The following is a 22,272-nucleotide window of genomic DNA, read 5'->3' on the forward strand; positions in this document are numbered from 1 at the left end:
TGCATCCCTTTGTGTGTGTTTCATTGGTTGATTGTTGTTTTTGTTGTGTGTGTGTGTGTGTGTGTGTGTGTGTGTGTGTGTGTGTGTATGCATGTGTGTGTGTTAAGAATACATAATATGGGCCGGGCACAGTGTCTCATGCCTGTAATCTCAGCACTTTGGGAAGCTGAGCCAGGTGGATCACGAGGTCAGGAGATCGAGACCCTCCTGGACAACATGGTGAAACCCTGTCTCTACCAAAAATACAAAAATTAGCTGGGCGTGGTGGTGCGTGCCTGTAATCTCAGCTACTCGGGAGGCTGAGGCAGGAGAATCACCTGAACCAGGGAATTGGAGGTTTCAGTGAGCTGAGATCGTGCCACTGCACTCTAGTCTGGTGACAGAGCAAGACTCCATCTAAAACTAGTCTGGTGACAGAGCAAGACTCCATCTAAAAAAAAAAAAAACAATGAATACATAACATCATGAGATCTACTCTCTTCAATTTTGAAGTATAAAATACCATATTGTTAACTATAGGCACCATGTTGTACAGCAGATCTCTAGAACTTATTCATCTAGCATAACGTACTTTATACCCATTGAACAACTCTCAATTTCCCCCACTTTCCAACCCTGCCAATCACTTTGTATACTTTTCCTTCCATGAATTTGACTATTATAGATACCTCATATAAGTGAAATCATGCAGTATTTGTCCTATGGCTGGCTTACTTCACTTAGCATATTGTCCTTTCATTTCCTACATGATCTAGCAAATGAAAGGATTTTCTTTTTTTTAAAGCTGAATAATATTCCACTAGATATGTAAACCACATTATCTTTATCCATTCATGAGTTGATGCCCACTTGGGTTTTTTCCATATATGGGCTATTTGAAATAATGCTGCAATGAACATGGGAATGCAGATATCTCTTGGAGATACTGATTTTATTTCCTTTGTGTATATGCACATAAGTGAGATTGCTGGATCATGTGATAGTTCTATTTTTTAATTTTGAGGAACCTCCATACTTTTCTCCATTATGACTGTACCAATATACACTCCCACCAACAGTGTGTAATGGTTCTGTTTTCTCCTCACCCTTGCCAACACTTGTTGGCTCTTGTCTTTTTTTTTTTTTTTTGAGACGGAGTCTCGCCCTGTCGCCCAGGCTGGAGTGCAGTGGCGCGATCTCGGCTCACTGCAAGCTCCGCCTCCCGGGTTCACGCCATTCTCCTGCCTCAGCCTCCAGAGTAGCTGGGACTACAGGCGCCCGCCACCACGCCCGGCTAATTTTTTGTATTTTTAGTAGAGACGGGGTTTCACCATGTTAGCCAGGACGGTCTCGATCTCCTGACCTCTTGATCTACCCGCCTCAGCCTCCCAAAGTGCTGGGATTACAGGTGTGAGTCTTTTTGATAGTAGCTATCCTATTATGTGTGAAGTGATAGATCTCATTGTAGCTTTGATTTGCATTTCCCTAATGATTAATGATGTTGATTACCTTCTCATATGCCTGTTGGCCATCTGTATGTCTTTTTTGGAGAAATATATTTTCAAGACTTTAGCCCATTTTTTAAACTGGGTTGTTTGTTGTTGTTGCAGTTGAATTGTATGAGTTTCTTATATATTTTGGATATTAATCCCTTGTCAGATATACAGTTGACAAATTTTTTCCCATTCTGTAGACTTTTCATTCTGTTGATTGTTTCTGTGCAGAAGCTTTTTAGATTGATGTGGGCCCACTTGTCTATTTTTCCTTTTGTTGCCTGTGCTTTTGGTGTCATAGCCAATAACTTACTGCCATGACAAATGTGTAGCAACTCTTCTCCTGTTTTCTTCTAGGAGTTCTGCATTTTCAGCCCTTACATTTCAGTATTTCTTTTTAAGCTGATTTTAGTGTATGGTTTAAAGTAGAGGTTAAATTTCTTTCTCTCTCTCTTTTTCTTTCTCTCTCTCTTTCCCTTTCTTTCTTTCTCTCTCTTTTTTCTTTCTTTCTTTCTCCCTTCCTTCCTTTTCTCTCTCTCTCTCTTTCTTTTCTTTTCTTTTTCACATCAATATCCAGTTTCCACAACACCATTTGTTGAAAAGACTATCCTTTCCCCATTGTGCATTATTGGCACCCTTGTCAAAGATCATTTGACTATATGCATTGGATTATTTCTGGGCTTTTTATTCTGTTCCATTGGTCTGTATGTCTGTTTTTATGACAGTACAAAACTGTTTTGATTACTCTAGCTTTATAATATATTTTGAAATCAGGACGTATTATGCTTCCTGCTTTGTTCTTTCTCAAGATTATTTTAGCTATTCTGTGTCTTTTATCACTCCATATGAATTTTAGGATTGTTTTCCTATGTCTGTAAAAAAATGCCATTGGAATTTTGACAGGAATAGCAATGACTCTGTAGGCCACTGGGTAGTATGGACATTTTAACATCAATTATTCCAATCTATTAAAATAGGATATATTCCCATTTACTTGTTTCCTGTAAATTTTTTTTATCAATCTTTTGTAGTTTTCAGTGCAAAAGTCTTTCACCTCCTCGGTTAAGTTTACTCCTAAGTATTTTATTTTCTTTTATGCTATTGTAAAAGGGACTGTTTTCTTAATATCCTTTTTGGACAGTTCATTGTTAGTGTGTAAAAAGCTGATTTTTCTCTGTTGATTTTGTAGTCTGCAAATTTACTGAATTTAAAAACTAGTTCTAATATTCTTCTGTGGAGTCTAGGTTTTCTGTATATAGGATCATAACATCTGAAAAGAGAAATAATTTTACTTCTTTATTATTAGGATTATGGGTAAATTTCTATATACATACAACCTGCCATGACTGAATTATGAAGACGTAAAAATCTTTACAGAATAATAATGAGTAAGGAGGTTGAATCAACAATCAAAAGCCTCTGAAAAAGAAAAGCCCCTGACCAGATGGCTTTACTGGTGAATTATACCAAACATTTCAAGAAGAATGAATGCCAGTTCTTGTCAAACACTTCAAAAATGCTGAAGAGAGGGGGAGACTGCCAAACTTATTTTATGATACCATCATTACATAATACCAAAGCCAGACAAAGATATTACAAGAAGAGAAAATTAAAGGCTAATATCGTTGATGAATATAGATTCAAAAATCCTCAAAAAATACTAGCAAACAAAATTCAATAGTACATTAAAAATATTATGCACCATGATCAAGTGGGGTTTATTCATCATAGTCTATTCAAATTGCTATAACAAAATACCATAGGTTGAGTGGCTTATAAAAAAATAGAAATTAATTTCTTACAGTTCTGGAAGCTAGGAAGTCCAAGCTCAAGGCACCAGCAGATTCTATGTCTGGTGAGGCCCCGTTTCCCAATTTAGAGATGGCCGTCTTATTGCTGCCTCGCCACTTGGCAGAAGGAGCAAGAGAGGTCTCTGGTGTCTCTTTTATAAGGGCACTAATCACATTCATAAGAGCTCCATTCTCATAACCTAATCACATCCCAAACACCACTCTTTCAAATACCATGAAATTGGGGATTAGGTTCCAACATATGAAATTTGGGGAGTGGAGGACACAAACATTCGTCTATTGCATCATCCTTGGGGTTACAAGGATGGTTCAATATATGCAGATCAATGAATGTAATACCCAACGTTAACGAAATTAATACTAAAAATCACATGATCTTTTTAATAGGAGTAGAAAAAGCATTGGAAATAATTTAACATTATTTCATGATAAAACTGATCAACAAACTAGGTATAGAAGGAATGTACTTCAACATAATAAAGGTCATAGATGACAAGCTGAAATCTAACATTATACTTAATGGTGGAAAGTTGTAAGCTTTTCCTCTAAAATCAGGAAGAAGACAAGGATGCCAACTTTCACCATTTCTATTCAACATAGTACTGGAAGTCCCAACCAGAGCAATTTAGGAAAGAGAAAGAAATAAAATGAATTAAAATGTTATTATTCTCTATCTGCTCCATCTAATGCATAGTCATTAGCCACGTGTGGCTATAAAGCAAGTGAAATATGGCTATTTTGACTGCGGAACTAAATTTTTATTTTTATTTGGTTTTACTTAATTTTCATTTAAATTTAAATAGCCAAATGTGGCCAGTAGACACATTTTTAGGCAGCACAGACTATATGTATTATTCAACCTTGGAAGAAAGGTATCTTCCTCCCACAGTGAATAACTTAAAGTAGGACAATTTTGTAGCACTGAGAATGTGACTCCTTCCTACTAATCAGAATAGCTGACTTATCCCTACAGTGGTTATAGTCAAATTTCCCAAATATTCATGTACCCTTTAAATTCGTAGTAAACTATTTCTTCATTTTTAATGTAAGCAATTATTGGTATACACTTCCCTCTCAGAACTACTTTTTCTCTGTCCCACAGGTTTTGGTATACTGAGCCTGGGGCTACTGGTGTCAGCCTGGTGGTAGTGCAGCTCATCTGATGCCTGGGGCTGCAGGATCCTAGTTGGTTCCTGTGACAGACCTTGGGAAGCTCAATCTCAGGTAAAGCCTGGAGTCTGGGGTCATAGGGGCCTGCCCAGTACTGGGTTTTAATGGGGCACGTCCAGTGTTGGACCTCACAGCAAAGTGCTCACTTCCCTCTTCTTCCCTCAAGCAGAAAGTTTCTCCCTCCATGTTGCGCTGCCGGAGGTTGAGGGAAGCTTTTCTTAATTGTGTCTTTTAAAAATGTATGTGCTATACCCAGGTGCTGTAATCTCTTCCTTGGTTTCCCAATCTCTTGTAAAGGTATTTTTGTGCATGAATAATTGTTCAAATGGAAGTTTTTTTGCAGAAACAAGTGCAGGAAAGTCCTATTTTGCCATTTTGCTGATGTCTCTCCCCAGTATGGTCCATTTAAAACAGAAATCACGTCATGTCTCTGCTCAAAACCCTCCAGCAGCTCCATTTTATTCAGAACAGGTCAAGGTTTACCATGGCCTGCAAGACCCTACATGGTTTTCATCCCCTAATTCTCTGATTTCATCTTTTGTGTACTCCTTGTTCACTCTGTCCCAGGCACATTGGCTGTTGCTCACAAACACGAGGCATTTTAGGGTCTTTGCACTTGTGTCTTGCCTGAGGGTCTTTGCACTAGCTGTTTCCTCTGCCTAGAACATCCTTACACAAGAGTATTGTGTACTTCCCTTGTGTCTGTCTTTCTCCTATCCTTTGTGTCTTTGCTCAAGTCCCACCTCCCCAAAGATGCCTACTCCTGACCACTGTATTTAATACTGTACCTTGTTCTCAGCATAGCCAGCTCTCCTGATTTCCCTAACTCTGCTCTATTTGGTTTCTTTTTTTTACTACAGCAATCATCAGTTGTAACATGCTAGATCATTTATTTATTTACTGTATGTATTTTTCAGTGTCTACCTTATCTTAGTAGAATGTCAACTCCAGGAAGGCAGTAAATTTTGCCTAGTTTTTTCACTGATATATCCCAAACACCTTGAAGGTGTCCTAACATACAATAAACACTTTATAAAAGTATATTGAAAACATTAGCCAATGTTTGTTAATGAAGTCCGTATATCTATGATGTAAAAGTGTATATGTATGCATATGCATATGTATGTATAGAATGGTTTTAATGAGTTAAACTTCTGTGAGTAAACATACTTGATTGTTAGTGTAACATGAAAATTGCAAAGTCAGAATTTTCTAAATGAAAGGTCATAAAGCTTCTTTAGTAAATGTTAATTTGTTTCAAAGTATTTTAATAGTGATATAAAATCCTAGATGTGTTCAATTGGGTTGAGATAATGATATTGGAGAAAAATTATAATTTTCTTGATGCCCAAGCCCTTCCATCTTTAATTTTAATACTTACGGCACTTCATTAAAATGCATGCTGTATTTAATTTTCCAGGAAATTGTACAGCATAAAAGAAGAATGTATATTCAAAGCAATTTCCAGTCAAACTAGTTGAAACTTTTAGAATATAAGCCAATAGAGCCTGTGTCTTTTCTAGATGTGAGGCTGTTCTTGGCACATTTGCAGGGGTCAGTGTAGCTTCTGAGCTACCTTTAACCCTTGCTCGGTGCACCTATTTCCTAAGACCTTTATCACATTCTGTACCCTTTCCAAATTGCCGATACCAATTTCAAATCCCCAGGGCAGACATAATATTCTCATAATATCTGACCACTGCTAACAGCTGTGGGAAGAAAACTTGCTGTTTTTAGAGCCTCTGCTTCAGTGTACATATCCCATTTTCATCCCTCGTTTCTTAAAAGAATTATATTGCTGACAAATTTAACTTTGAGTCCATAATAAATCTTGGAAATTTTTTCTGGCAACCGCTTCAAAGCTGGTTATTTCTGATTGTGTAGTCATGGAAATCATGTTTTATCCTTAAAATGATCCTACACTTATCAATGTTAAAATTAGCATATTTTTCTCTCTTTCTGCTGGTGAAGGTCAATTTTCCCTCTTGTTTTATTGGAGAGGCTGTTTGACAACCTTGTCAGAGCTAGTATTTCCATGAAAATTTGATGAATCGACTATATCCCATCTCTATATCCAAATGAATATAAACTGTTCGAGGACAAGTTTATGTCCCATTCAGTTTTGTATTTTCTACAGAATTTAGCACATAATATGTGTTCCATTCCACATATTATATGCTAGCACTAACATAGTCTGGTCCTTCATTATCTCTTAACTGGATTAGAGTTATAACGTCCTAACTTGTCTCCCCACCTCTGGTTTCTTCAAACGTTACTTGGGCTACAGACATAATAAATTACTTGTAAGTAGTCTGGATATAACCTGTTCTATTTACCCATATGCATGCTACTCTCTCTCCCTGAAATGTCTTTCACCTGCATCTGCCTGGTTCAATCCTAAATATCCTTCCAGATTCAGTTCATATGTTACCTCCTTTGCAAAGGCATCTCTGATGCCTCAGAGTGGCAATATAGCCTTGTGGTTATGGGCTCAGACTCTGAAACGAGGTTGTTGGAGTTGGTTTATTTTGCCTCTTACTAGTTGCATAACCTCAGGAAAGTTACTTAACCTCTCGGTGCCTTGGTTTCCTAACTGTAAAGAAAATAGGAACATCTTCATAGGATTGTTGTGATAATTAAATAAACTGATAGACACTGAGCACCCTCAATCCAAAAATCTGAAACCTGAAATGTTTCAAAATCCGAAACCTTTTGAGTGCTAACATGACATCACAAGTGGAAAATTCTACACCTGACCTCAGGTGATGGATCACAGTGAAAATGCAATGAAAACTTTGTTTCATGCACGAAATTATTTCAAAATATTGCATAAAATTACCTTCAGGCTATGTGTATAAAGTGTATATTAAACATAAATGAATTTTATGTTTGGAATACGGTCCCATCCCCAAGATATCTCATCATGTATACCTAAATATTCCAAAAATCTGAAATTTGAAACACTTCTGGTCTCAAGCATTTCAGATAAGGGATACACAAACCATGTATATACACACACACACACACACACACACACATATATAGAGAGAGAGAGAGAAAGAGAGAGAGAGCTCTTAGAATAGTACCTGTTTCATGGTAAGCATGCAGTAAATGTTAGCTCTTATGCGTAGTGTAATAGATATATTGACATTGTTATTTTTATTATCACTCTAGTCCCTTAAGCTGAGTTATTACATAATTTTTATCATTGCTGTTTAACATTGATTTTTAATTATTTTTACCTTGTGACCATACCATGAGTTGACTGAGTGGAGATACTTTTACTTAGTCAACTGCTGGACCTAGTACAGTGTTTAATAGTCAATAGGGCAAAATAAATATTATTTGGAGTGAGTGACTAAGCTGAAATATCTTCTCAATGAAACTATCAACATTTATAATGAGTAGTTCTTAATACCCGCCCAAGGAATTTCATGATGATTTTAAAGTATCATACCTAAATATAGCTGTGTTGATAGTAATCATGCATCAGTCCCAGGAGCAGTAGCATTCACTGTACTCAATTTAATGTTTTCCTCAAAACCAACCTTACTAAATAAAATGCTATTAAGATTTGAGGAGGCCCAGACACAAAAGAGTCAAGTAATTCTTTTCATTGCCATAAAAGTATTCAAGAATATGGCAAACAGCTTTCTTCCGGCCAATTCAACATTTGCTCCCACTAGCCATTCTACTTCCAGGTTTAACACTTACAAGAAAAAGAAAATGCTTCAATTATCAATAATTCAAATTGAAAGTGACACTTTTTTTGAAGTAGTATTATTTTAATATTTTTGGGCAATAGTCAACACCTAACGTATGAAAGCAATTTCCTTTTACGTGTGTGTGTGTGTGTGTGTGTGTGTGTGTGTGTGTGTGTGTGTGATGGAGTTTTGCTCTTGTTACCCAGGCTGGAGTGCACTGGCGCCATCTTGGCTCGCTGCAACCTCCGCCTCCCGGGTTCAAGCGATTCTCCTGCCTCAGCCTCCCAAGTAGCTGGGATTACAGGCGCCTGCCACCACGCCCAGCTAATTTTTTGTATTTTTAGTAGAGACAGGGTTTCACCATGTTAGCCAGGCTGGTCTTGAAGTCCTGACCTCAGATGATCTGCCCGCCAACCGTGGCCTCCGAAAGTGCTGGGATTACAGGTGTGAGCCACCGTGCCCGGCCAGAAATTTCTATTAATGTCAATAAAAGCTCATAGTGTTTGACATATTTTATTTTCTTAAGAGCTATGTTGCATGAAAAGCCTAGTGCTGAAATAAATTCCTTTAGGCACCTGGACCTTACATTTTATCTGTGTTCATGGTCCAATCTTCATGTTTAGAATCAACATATTCCTCTGAGTTCTAAAGCATTTATTTTATAATAACAATTTATTATTAAACCCATTTCATTATAAGCTAAAATCTACTACAATTGCATTTTAAATCAATTGCTAACATTGAGCTATCAGTACATTACTTCAAATTGATCCAAAGATATAAAGAATTAAAAACTGTGTTTATTCATTCATTTATGTAACTCCCTAGAAAATCAGACATGTTTTGTGCTAAACCTGAACAAGGAAGTGTGTATCCCCAGGATGTAATGGCTGTTGCATTGGTTCTAATATTGAGGAAAAGAGACTGAAAACTAGATATAGAGAGCCAGGTATATCAGGTGGTCTGAATGCATCTCAAACCTGAACACATCTCTATTTAATTCTGGAAAATTAAATAGAGAAGAATTTTACTGGAAGAATATTACTAGTAGCTCAAAGAGTTGAGGGGAGAACCAGAGAATCAGGCCCAGGAAATGAGAAGGAACTAAAGAGTTGAGTAATGTTGCAGAAAAAAAATCTTATTTACAAATGTATCTGCTGCCACTGTCCACAATCTCCTCCATGACACACAGGCACCATAGCTAGATGCAGAAAAGCAAATCATAAAATCATTTTCCTTTAGGTCACTAGGCTAAAAAAGAGAATCCTTGATGATAATATCTGAGTATTGATTTCCATGCTCTGGCCACTAGGAGACGAGAAGAGGACAGATTTTACCTTTAAGCACCTGTCATTGGGAGATGCACTATCACCTACTGAGAATCTCAGTTTAAAGGTTCTCCGAAATTAGAAAGCCATTTCACTTTCTGAGCAGCAAAAAATGACATCTGTACATTCTCAAAGTCCCAATAACATTGTTTGAGTCATATGCAGAGCTTAATCTAAAGCCTGTCTCCTCCTGAACAATCTGATTACATGGCTTATTAAATTAACATTTTGGTTTAAGCCAGTTTGTTTCAGGTTTATCTGTTATGTCCTATGGAGTTCCTACCACCAGTACTCAGGGCTTCTGAAATTTTCTCCATTGTGGCATCCCTATTTCAGGGATCTCCAGATCACACTAGCTTAACTTTGAGAAGTGGGTTTCTAACTTTTAATTTTCTAGTATGGTGACCACTACCCAAATATATGCTCTTACCCAATCAGATTGTCTGCTTGACTGAATTTCCACATGTCACTATGTGGGTTTTCCATTAGGATGTTCTTTCCACCTTTGGGCATGTGCCAACCAGGACCAGCACACAACTTCAGATGGCATCATTCGATTTGAGCATCCAGCTCAAGCCATGGAGTACATAGCCCATAAAACTGGATGAACATGGCAGCTTCTTCAAATTTGAGTATTGATTGGATTATCTTTACTCGGGCTTCATTCAGAAATTATTTAATGCAGCTTACAAAAATCTGTAAAATTAAATTAAAAATGAAATAAAATCATTTATGAATAAAAGGGGGCTCAAAATTTAATGAAAAGCAATAACTGGCTCATAACACAGAGTCATACTTTTGTTCTCAACTTTCTAGCAGCCAACCTGCAAAGAGGAAGTAGTCGTTTCTCCAGGTAATATTCCCCATACATTAAAAACAATACAATTGCTTAGGGAAGCACAACTATTAATGGAATTCAAACCAGACACGATCCTCTCAAAGTTAGCTCACATTCTCAGAGAAGTAGACACTAAGACAGGATTAAACAAAGCAAGATTTATTGGGAAAAAAATGGATATGAAGGAAAGGAGGAGGGAGCTATCAGACCACAATACAATTTCAACACCATGAAGGAGAGATGGAAGGAAGGAAGGTTAGGTAGGAAAAGTCTTAGATTGTATGGTAATTTAAGGAAAGTATTAGCAAGGCTGATGAGAAATCCTTGAGCCAAAGTTGCTCACTAGAGAAGTCTTGTATCTTGCTGGAATATCCCTGCTTTAGTACTCTGGTACATACCATCATTGGCTAGGAAGAGCCTGTGAAAAGTATGGTAATGGACTCAGATCTCAACAGCTGGAGTCATTGATCAGTTATGCTCCCCACAGCAGAAGATCTGAGAGCAACATTTTCATTGCTGCCACACTCCCACACTCATTTTGGTGATTGTGGAAAGATGATGGCTACTAAATGTAATTGATTTACTTGAATCAAGCCTGGAACTTTATGTACCTTGGAAACCGACACTTCCCAATTATTTTAACCTTCATGGCCAGCTGGATTTGCCCTTACTCAGATTATGCTGGCTATGAGCTTTATAAATCTTGAAATATGAGAATCCATGCCCCATGGAGCTGGTGTTTTAGTGAAGGTTATAGACATGTCAGGAATGAAATATAATACAAGGTGGAGGAAATGTGTGTTTAATAAAGGTATAAACAATGTATTGTGGAGGGGCAGGGAGAAATGAGAGGTTTCAGTTTTCAATTCACAAGTGGCTTTACAGATGAACAGTCAAGAACAGCCCAATCATTTGCATTTATTGTTTTAAATAATGAGGACTAATGCATTAATGTAGATCTGTAGGTCTCAAACTTTAGTGCACATCAGAATCATCTGGAGGACTCGCTAAAACACAGATTATTGAATCCACCCCCACCCAAAGAGTTTCTGATTCAATAGATCTGGGGATGGAGCCTGAGAATGCACAACTTTAACAAGTTCCCAGGTGCTGCTAATGGTGGTCTGAGTAGCACTATAGGAGAACCAAGTAAGTAAAACAAAAACTCTGTTGTTAGAATATGAGTTACCCAAATAATTACTCTCATACTTCCCTCTCCTTAATTAGTCTTGAACTTATATCATCACGGGATCTCTGTTAATTACATATGTACAATGGGGTACTATTCAGCCATAAAAATAATGACATCCAGTCATTTCAACAACATGGATGGAACTGAAGATCATGTTAAGTGAAATAAGCCAGGCACAGAAAGACAAACATTGCATGTTGTCACTTATTTGTGGGATGTAAACATCAAAACAACTGAACTCATGGACATAGAGAGTAGAAGGATGATTACCAGAGGCTGGGAAGAGTAGTGAGGGGCTGGTAGGGAGGTAGGGATTGTTAATGGGTCCAAAAAGTAGAAAGAATGAATGAGACCTATTTGATAGCACAACAGGGCGACTATAGTTAATAATAACTTAATTGTACATTTTAAAACACTTAATGGGTGTAATTGGATTGTTTGTAACTCAAAGGAGAAATGCTTGAGGGAATGAATACCCCATTCTCCATGATGTGCTTATTTCACATTGCATCACTGCATACCTGTACCAAAATATCTCATGTACTCCATAAATATATACACCTACTAAGTATCTACAACTATATATATAATTACAGGTTACATAGTAGCTTTGGTATCAAGCAAGTGTGGGTTCAAAATTGGGACTCTTGGGCTTGTTTTCTTGTTTTTATTAATTTTTTTTCAATTTACATTTTTTAAATTATGAAATTAACTCTAAGCCTAAAAGTAAGAGAAAAGTAACATCCACAGGCTCTGTTATAGCTGCCACTTGGATGTCAACTGTACTGGCATTTTTCATAGAACTTTTCTCATTTTTAATCGTAATACATATTATTTTACATCTGGCTTTCATTGAACACTGTATCAACTGATTTTTTCAGATGTTTCAGGCGTTGTACTATTTATCACTTTTTAAAATTTTATTTATTTAATTTTATTTTTTATTAGACTTCAAGTTCTAGGGTACATATGCACAACGTGCAGGTTTGTTACATATGTACACGTGTCATGTTGGTGTGCTGCACCCATTAACTGGTCATTTACATTAGGTATATCTCCTAATGCTATCCCTCCCCCCTCCTCCCACCAATGAGTTCATGTCCTTTGTAGGGACATGGATGAAGCTGGAAACCATCATTCTCAGCAAACTATCGCAAGGACAAAAAACCAAACACTGCATGTTCTCACACATAGGTAGGAATTGAACAATGAGAACACTTGTTGTTATTAAAGTTTTTTTGATTCATTACCTCTCCCATCCCCAGCACTTGGCAACCACGCATCAATTTTCTGTCACTGTACTTTTACCTCTTCCAGAGTGTTATATAAATGAATCCATACAGTGTGTAGATTTGGGAGTCTGGCTTCTTTCACTTACTAACATACATTTGCATTTATCCATGTTTATGTGTATAAATAAGTATTTTATTCATTTGTATTGCTGAGCAGCATTTCACTGTATGGATATACTACACTAGTTTAGCCATTCATCAGTTGAAGGATATTGTCATCATTTCCCAATTTTGGCACTTATGAATACAGCTGCTATAAATATTCAAGAATATCATCATTTCACTTAGGTAAATCCTAATAGTGGGATTTCTGGGTCATGTGGCAAGTGTATGTTTAACTTCATAAAAAACTACTAAAGTATTTTCCAAATTGGTTCTATCATTTCACATTTTCACGGCAATGTATGAGAGATCCAGTTACTCTAAATCTTTGTCTGCCCTTCATATTTTCAGTTAATTTGTTTTTATTTTAGCCTTTTTAATATGTAGTGGTATTTTACAAGAAAAAATAAAAAGTGTAGGAGTATTTTATTATCATTTTAATTTGAATTTCTCTAATGACTAATGATGTTCATATACATTTATGTACATCTTGTTTGGTGAAATTTTACTTTAGGGTTTCTAGTAGAGATGACTTATAACAGTCTGCCTTCAATTAATATTATATTACTTCATTTATAGAAGGGCTTGAAAATAGTACAATTTATTTCCATTTTCCCTGCCTTTGTGCTATTGTCATATAGTTTATTTCCATAGCTGTTATAGATAACACAATCTTTTTATTATTTTTATTTGAAGATTTGATTATCTTTTAAAGTACTTCAGAATATAAGGAAACATCATTTTATATTTACTCACATACTTACCATTTCTGGTTTCTTCACTCCTTTGTGTAGATGCAGATTTTTATCTGTTAACATTTCCTTCTACCTAAAGGATTTCATTTAAAATTGCACATCTACTGGTGATGAATTCTTTCACTTCTTGTATATTGAAATAAGCTTTTATTTCACTTTTATTTTTGAAATTTTTGCTGATTATAAACTAAGTCTGATAGCTATTTTTTTCAGTAATTTAAAGATATTGCTCCACTGTCTTCTTATTTGAACTGTTCCCAACATAAAGCCTGCTATATTTCTTTTCTTTTCTTTTCTTTCCTTTTCTTTACTTTTCTTTTTTTTTTTTTTTTGAGATGGAATTTTGCTCTTGTAGCCCAGGCTGGAGTGCAATGGTTGATCTCAGCTCACTGCAACCTCCACCTCCTGGGTTCAAGCAGTTTTCCTGCCTCAGCCTCCCGAATAGCTGGGATTCCAGGTGTGTGCCAACATGCCCAGCTAACTTTTGTATTTTTAGTAGAGACGGGGTTTCACCATGTTGGCCAGGCTGGTCTCAAACTCCTGACCTCAGGTGATCCACCCACCTCGGCCTCCCAAAGCGCTGGGACTACAGGCGTGAGCCACCACGCCCGGCCAAGTATGCTGTATTTCTATCTTTGTTTTACTCTGCATAACGTGTGTTTGCCCTTCCTCTGGCCACTTTTAAATTTTTCTCTTTATCACTAGTTTCAAGCAGTTTGATAAGGGTACTTTTTTTAAATTTTTTTTTTGAGATGGAGTCTCGCTCTGTCGCCCGTGCTGGAGTGCAGTAGGACAATCTCGGCTCACTGCAAGCTCTGCCTCCCGGATTCACGCCATTCTCCTGCCTCAGCCTCCAGAGTAGCTGGGACTACAGGTGCCTGCCACCATGCCGGGATAATTTTTTGTATTTTTTTTTTAGTAGAGAAGGGGTTTCACCATGTTAGCCAGGATGGTCTCAATCTCCTGACCTCGTGATCCGCCCACCTCGGCCTCCCAAAGTGTTGGGATAACAAGCGTGAGCCACCGTGCCTGGCCTGATAAGGGTACATCTTAACAAAGTTTTCTCCAGTTTTTCCTCCGAGGTTTGATCCTTTTAAACTTGTTTTTGACTTTCTTATGCAGGACCACATAAGCCTTTAGTCTAGATCTAATTTTGCCTCTCAACTGAGTCAACATCCTTCTGACAAGTGCACCCTATATCTCATGTATTATAGTGTATTTCTAATCTGGCTTGTGAAAACAGCAATTTTTTTTTTCTGGCTCCGATTGAGCCCTGGAGATTTTTCCACTTGCTTCTTTCAGATAATTCTTTCCTAGGCTTCAGGCAGCTTTCTCACATGTATGTTCTGATAAGAACACAGATGAAGACTCAGGGAGATGGGACTCTGCAGATCCTCAGAGCTTTCTTTCACTGCAATTCTCTCTTTTCTACTCTCCCATCAAAACGCCAGATACCTTCATCTTCCCATATTTCCATGTCTATCTCTTCAACTCAAGGACACTGCTGGGCTTTCCCCAGGTTTCCTCACCCTTTGGTAAAATGTACATTTATATCCCCTAAAATTAGTATAACTTTTTATTTTTAATAATAAGATATGCAGAATAAGCTTTCAGTTATTTTCCAAATATAATTGATACACTATCAGAACCATGTAATCATTTTGAAAAGAACATATATTCTCAATAATAGTGATGTACAACTTGGACGTTGCAGGTGATATGACAAGCATCATAGCGTTACTAAAACCATGCCATCATTTATTAACTCTACCATATTGTTGGTTTTTAAGTCAAGAGATGTCTTCACCATTTTACCTTTTAATATGATATTTTGCTATGTATATGCAGACACCTTTACTGTGCTTCTGTTACATTTTAACAGAATGGTGTCGATATCTCTTCAAGATAATCATTTTATTCCTTACAGACATACAACTAGTAGTGAGATTGCTGGATCATATGGTAGTTTGATTTTTAATTTTTTGAAGAATCTCCACACTGTTTTCCCAAATGCTGTACCAATTTGCATTCCACTAACAATTCACAAGGGTTTCCTTCTCTCAACACCCTAGCCAACAGTTGTTATCTTTTGACTTTTTGATAATAGCTATCCTAACATGTGTAAGGTGATAACCCATTGCAGCTTTGATTTGCATTTCCCTGATGATTAGTGAAGGTGAGCACCTTCTTATATACCTGTTGGCCATTTGTATGTCTTCTTTTGCAAAATGTCTATGTATGTTTGTTGTAAAAGAGCTATTCTTTTTTTGTACTCTTGTTTTGAGAAAAAAGTTAATCTGTGTTGATGTCGTAGTGGTCAGAAACCAATAGAGACAGATAAAAGAATCCCAGTAATTTTTGGTAAATTCCAGCAGTTTGATAAAAATACATCCAATTAATGCTTACATACACATATAATATAGCTACAATTTTAAAGCTCTTAAAATTATTAATAAATTCAAAAGAGTAAAACATAATGTCCAACGTTATTTTCCTGAAAATTATAGGATAATAGTAATTAAAGTATCTCTTGAGATTACGTTGTGACTTTCCACACGGTTATCCTTTGCCTTCTTCCCAATTAAACTATGAACACATCGTGTTCCTGATGTTTAGCTTTCATTTCTCATACAATACCTAATATGTGTTTGATTTTTTTGGCTGAAGAATTGATTGGACTATGAGTGAAATAACCAGGACATCTCTACCTACTTGGTGACTAACATGCTAATATAGTGTTCCAAAACTATATTTCCTATAAAAGGATCTATATTCTCCAGAGTTTTTCTTGAACCTCATAAAAACGTCCCAATCCCTATCATGAAGTCTTTGCACTTAACATTGCTTCTGCCAGAAGCATTCATTTTACCCATCTCCATCTACTTAGCTCACTCACTATTTTTCTATCTGATCAATGTCTCCTCCTCTGAGGAGACTACCATGTCTAAAATATCACCTGCCACATTCTAACCCATGACCCTGATTTCCTTTTCTTCTGAGAACTGACAGTTACTTGAAAATATTGTATGTTCATGTATATGTGTGTATAGTGTATAGCATGCATTTGTGTACCACACATATACACATATACACACATACACGTTTAATTTGTTGTTTGTCTCTTTCACTAGAATATAAGCTCCTTGACAGTAGCAACAGTTTTCAATGATCACTTTATCCCCAGGGTACACAGGAAAGACACAGAGGAGATATTCAATTACTGTATGTCAAGTGAATGAATAGATGAAAAGGTGGATGATACACTTAATTACCAGAAGCTTCATCATCAAGACCCTCAGTAATATAGGTCACATCTGTTTACATTGATAAATCAGGCTAACTCCTCTGAAAAAACCTCTTGTTACAAATCACCGAGATATGCTGGATAAATATGACCAACAGGTATTTAATTACATAGCTCAGCTTTCAGGAAGCTAAGGGGAAGCCACAGGAGCCATAGATCTATGAAGAGGAGGCTGGAAACCAACTGATAAAATAAAACTGAAAGTACTGCTATTTAGGGCAGCTGATTCTACCAGAGGTACAAAGAGGAACTGGTCCAAACAATTGAAAAGGAGGGACTCATCCCTAACTCTTTTTTGTTGTTGTTGTTTTTGAGATGGAGTCTTGCTCTGTCGCCAGGCTGGAGTGCAGTGGCGCAATCTCGGCTCACTGCAACCTCCACCTCCCAGGTTCAAGCGATTCTCCTGCCTCAGCCTCCCAAGTAGCTGAGATTACATGCACGTGCCACCACGCCCAACTAATTTTTGTATTGTTTTTAGTAGAGATGGGGCTTCACCATGTTGGCCAGGATGGCCATGATCTCCTGACCTCGTGATCTGCCCGCCTCAGCCTCCTAAAGTGCTGGGATTACAGGCATGAGCTACCGCACCCGCCCCCTAACTCATTTTATGAGGCCAGTGTCATCCTGATACCAAAACCTGGCACAGATATAACAGAAAAAGAAAACTTCAGGCCAATATCTCTGATGAACATTGATGGAAAAATCCTCAATAAAATATTGGTGATCTGAATCCAGCAGCACATCAAAAACCTTATCCACCACTATCAAGTCAGCTTTATTCCCAATATGCAAGGCTGGTGCAACATATGGAAATCAGTAAACATAATTCATCACATAAACAGAACTAAAGACAAAAACCACATGATTATCTCAATAGACGCAGAAAAGGCCTTCAATAAAATCCAACATCCTCATGATAAAAACTCTCAATACACCAGGTATTGAAGGACCATACCTCAAAATAATAAAAGCCATTTATAACAAACCCACAGCCAATATACTGAATGGACAAAAGCTGGAAGCATTCCCCTTGAAAACTGGCACAAGACAAAGATGCCCTCTCTCACCACTCTTATTCAACATAGTGTTGGAAGTTCTGGCCAAGGCAATCACTCAAAAGAAATAAATAAAGGGTATTCAAATAAAGGAAGAGAGGAAATCAAATTGTCTTTGTTTGCAGATGACATGATCCTATATCTACAAAACCCCTGATTCAGCCCAAAAGCTTCTTAGGCTGATGGGCAACTTCAGCAAAATCTCAGGATACAAAATCAATGTGCAGAAATCACAAGCATTCCTACACACCAACAACAGACAAGCAGAGAGCCAAATCATCAATGAACTCCCATCACAATTGCCACAAAGAGAATAAAACACCTAGGAACGCAGCTAACAAAGGAAGTGAAGGACCTCTTCAAGGCGAACTACAAACCATCCCTCAGGGAAATCAGAGAGGACACAAGCAGATGGAAAAACATTCCATGCTGATGCATAGGAAGAATCAATATCATGAAAATCACCATACTGCCCAAAGCAATTTATAGACTCAATGCTATTCCCATTAAGCTACCATTGATATTCTTCACAGAATTAGAAAAAAAAGTTTTAATTCATATGGAACCAAAAAAGAGCTCATATAGCCATGACAATCCTAAGCAAAAAGAACAAAGCTGGAGGCATGATGCCACCCAACTTCAAACTATATTACAAAGCTACAGTAACCAAATCAGGATGGTACTGGTACAAAAACAGACATATAGATCAATAGAACAGAATAGAGAATCCAGAAATAAGCCCACACACTTACAACTATCTGATCTTTGACAAACTTGACAAAAACAAGCAATGGGGGAATGATTCCCTATTCAATAAATAGTGCTGGGAGAACTGGCTAGACATATGCAGAAAATTGAAACTGGATGCCTTCTTTACACTTTATGCCAAAATTAACTAAAGATGGATTAAAGACTTAAATGTAAAACCCAAAATTATAAAAACCCTAGAAGAAAATCTAGGCAATACCATGCAAAACATAGGCATGGGCAAAGATTTTATGATGAAATCACCAAAAGTAATTGCAACAAAAGCAAAAATTGACAAATGGGACCTAATTAAAGAGCTTCTGTACAGTAAAGGAAAGTATCGTCAGAGTGAACAGACAACTTACAGATAGGAGAAAATTTTTGCAATCTATCCATCTGAAAAATGTTTAATATCCAGGATCTATAAGGAACTTAAGCATATTTACAAGAAAAAAACCAACAACCGCATTAAAAAGTGGGAAAAGAATATGAACAGGCTACTTCTCAAAAAAAAGACATACATGCGGCCAACAAACATGAAAAAAAGCTCAACATAACTGATCATTAGAGAAATGCAAATCAAAACCACAATGAGATACCATCTCATGCCACTCAGAATGGCAATTATTAAAAAGTCAAGAAACAACAAATGCTGGCGAGGTTGTGGAGAAATAGGAATGCTTTTATGCTATTGGTGGGAATGTAAATTAGTTCAACAATTGTGGAAGACAGTGTGGTGACTCTTCAAAGACTTAGAACCAGAAGTACCATTTTACCCAGCAATTCTATTACTGGTTATATACCCAAAGGAATATAAATCTTTCTATTACAAAGATACATGCAAATGTATGTTCATTGCAGCAGCATTCACAATAGCAAACACATGGAATCAACCTAAATGCCCATCAGTGAAAGACTGGATAAAGAAAATGTGCTACATATACACCATGGAGTACTATGCAGCCATAAAAGGAATGAAATCATGTTCTTTGCAGGGACATGGATGAAGCTGGAAGCCATTATCTTCAGCAAACTAACGCAGGAACAGAAAACCAAACATCGCATGTTCTCACTTATAAGTGGGAGCTGAACAATGAGAACACATGGACACAGGGTGGGGAACAACACACACTGGCACTTGTCGGGGAAGAGTGGAGGTGGGGAGAGCATTAGAGAAAAGAACTAATGCATGCTGGGCTTAATACCTAGGTGATGGGTTGATAGGTGCAGCAAACCACCATGGCACACATTTACCTATGTAACAAACCTGCACATCCTCCACATGTACCACAGAACCTAAAAACATAAAATAATAAAAAATTAAAAAATTAGAAAAATTCTTTTTCTTTCTTAGTATCCAAGAGACTGGCACCTTTACAGCTGGGAATGGAGAAGGAGATAAGTCCTTAGCTCTCAGAAAGGAGTGGAACAGGGAACAGGCAAAGATGGAACAGGAAAGACCCCATACAAAGGCAAAATCTACACTTTCTATAAAAAAGATGAATTGGACAAAAACAAACCTCCTGTCAGAGGCCAATGACAAGGAAAATTGTCTTTCTAGACTTGGGTTCAGGGAAGAATTTTTTTCTAAAGTTAACAATGAGATCTCATAACTTCATTCCTGCCCTTGCTTATGATATGAGTTCCTATTTTTTGCTACCCACATAGTCCATAAAATTCTATACCACAAAACTCACTTGAAGACATTCTGAATTGGTTGTAACTTGGGCCACATGACAGAGGTAAATACACTGCCTTTCTAGAAGAAGGTAATGGCAAAAAAGAATTCACAGGCTGACTTCATATCAAGATTCCCTGAATTAAAGTTCAGGATCCAAAGTTACACAGCAGCAGAAGAAAAAAAGTACCATAAGCAAAAATGAGGGAGGAAAAAAGGATACTTTTTAATGACCAAGAAACTTAGATATTGAAATTAGCAGATAAAGATTATAAAATAAGTATGTATAAGATGTTTAAAGAAATAAAAATGAGAACATTCCAAACATTATTATCACATTTGGGAATTACAACATAAAAATATACAAAATAATATTCTATGTTGTTTAGGGATATGTGAATATGGGAAAAAGAAAATGAAAAAATATTATTATAAGCACTAAATTCAGGATTATGATACCTCTGTGAAAGAATAGAGGCAGGGAGAAAAGAGAATAGAGGCATGATTTTTATTTTAGAACTGATTTCAAAGGTCAGTAGTAACATTTCCTAGTTAAGCAAACATATATATATATGTATTATTTATATATATATATATATGTATATATCTGCTTTACTTTTTGGAATTGCATACAGTTATCAGGAAATGTATATCATGAACAAAAATATGCAAACATTTTAAAAGAGGAATTTAGAATTGCACAATGAATATAGTTTTCTTACAATTTTCACAATCTGTCTTTTTCAGTTGATTGGACACAGTACTGATGTTACAAGTCTCAGGTGTTCGAGGCAGTTACTGATACACAGGTAGAACAAGGTGGACAAAGCACAACTGTTAGTATAATAAGCCGAAGTAGGATTTATGTAAAATGGAATTGTTCAGAACTTTCAAATCAAATGATTTTATTATTTCATACATCTTTGTCCTAGAAGATAAAATGAAAGTTATATTTACTGGCTGGCAAGTGGGTTAGTACTGTATATTGGCTCATATTGGAACCAAGTTTCTTGAACCTAGCTGTGTATTAATATTAACATCACCCGGAAATGTTTAAAACATACTGATGTCTGGGCCCCAGCCCAGACACTTATAAGTGAGAATATGTGATATTTGGTTTTTGGTTCCTGTGTTAATTTGCTAAAGATTACAGCCTCCAGCTGCATCCATGTTGCTGCAAAGGGCATGATTTTATTCTTTTTTTGTGGCTGCATAGTGTTCCATAGTGTATATGTACCACATTTTCTTTATCCAATCCAATCCACCAGTGTTGGGCACCTAAGTTGATTCCATGTCTTTGTTATTGTGAATAGTGCTGCAATGAACATACGAGTGCATGTGTCTTTTTGGAGGAATGATTTAGTTTCTTCTGGATACATACCCTGTAATGAGATTGATGAGTCAAATGGTAGTTCTGTTTTAAGTTCTTTGAGAAATCTCCAAACTACTTTCCACAGTGGCTGAACTAATTTGCATTCCCATCAACAGTATGTAAATGTTTCCTTTTCTCTGCAGCCTCACCAGAATCTGTTGTTTTTTGACGTTTTACTAATAGCCATTCTGACTGGTGTGAGATAATATCTTACTATGGTTTTGATTTGCACTTCTCTGGTGATTAGTGGTGTTGAGCATTTTTTCATATGCTTGTTGGCCACATGTATGTTTTCTTTTGAGAAGCGTCTGTCCTTTGCCCATGTTTTAATGGGGTTGTTTGGTTTTTGTTTGTTATATTAAGTTCCTAATGGATTCTTAATATTAGACATTTGTCAGATGCACAGTATGTAAATATCTTCTCTCATTGCGTAGGTTTTCTGTTTACTCTGT

The 22,272-nt window shown here is 36.8% G+C and overlaps 1 protein-coding gene across 9 annotated transcripts in view; it reads left to right on the forward strand.

The window, feature by feature from the left end:
* The window catches only part of DCAF8L2 (DDB1 and CUL4 associated factor 8 like 2), a 281,002-nt gene that overhangs the window by 158,553 nt on the left and 100,177 nt on the right, over positions 1-22,272 (forward strand). For 8 of the 9 annotated variants that reach the window (XM_024452372.2, XM_024452371.2, XM_024452373.2 and 5 more), the window contains one exon: positions 4,386-4,507. The gene's annotated coding sequence lies outside the window, so the exon portion shown is untranslated. Of the gene's footprint in view, positions 1-4,385; positions 6,303-22,272 lie in introns of those variants that run through there. The other variant, NR_148432.2, reaches the window with a different exon arrangement.

Source organism: Homo sapiens, chromosome X (genome assembly GCF_000001405.40).
Source record: "Homo sapiens chromosome X, GRCh38.p14 Primary Assembly".
Lineage (NCBI taxonomy): Eukaryota > Metazoa > Chordata > Mammalia > Primates > Hominidae > Homo > Homo sapiens.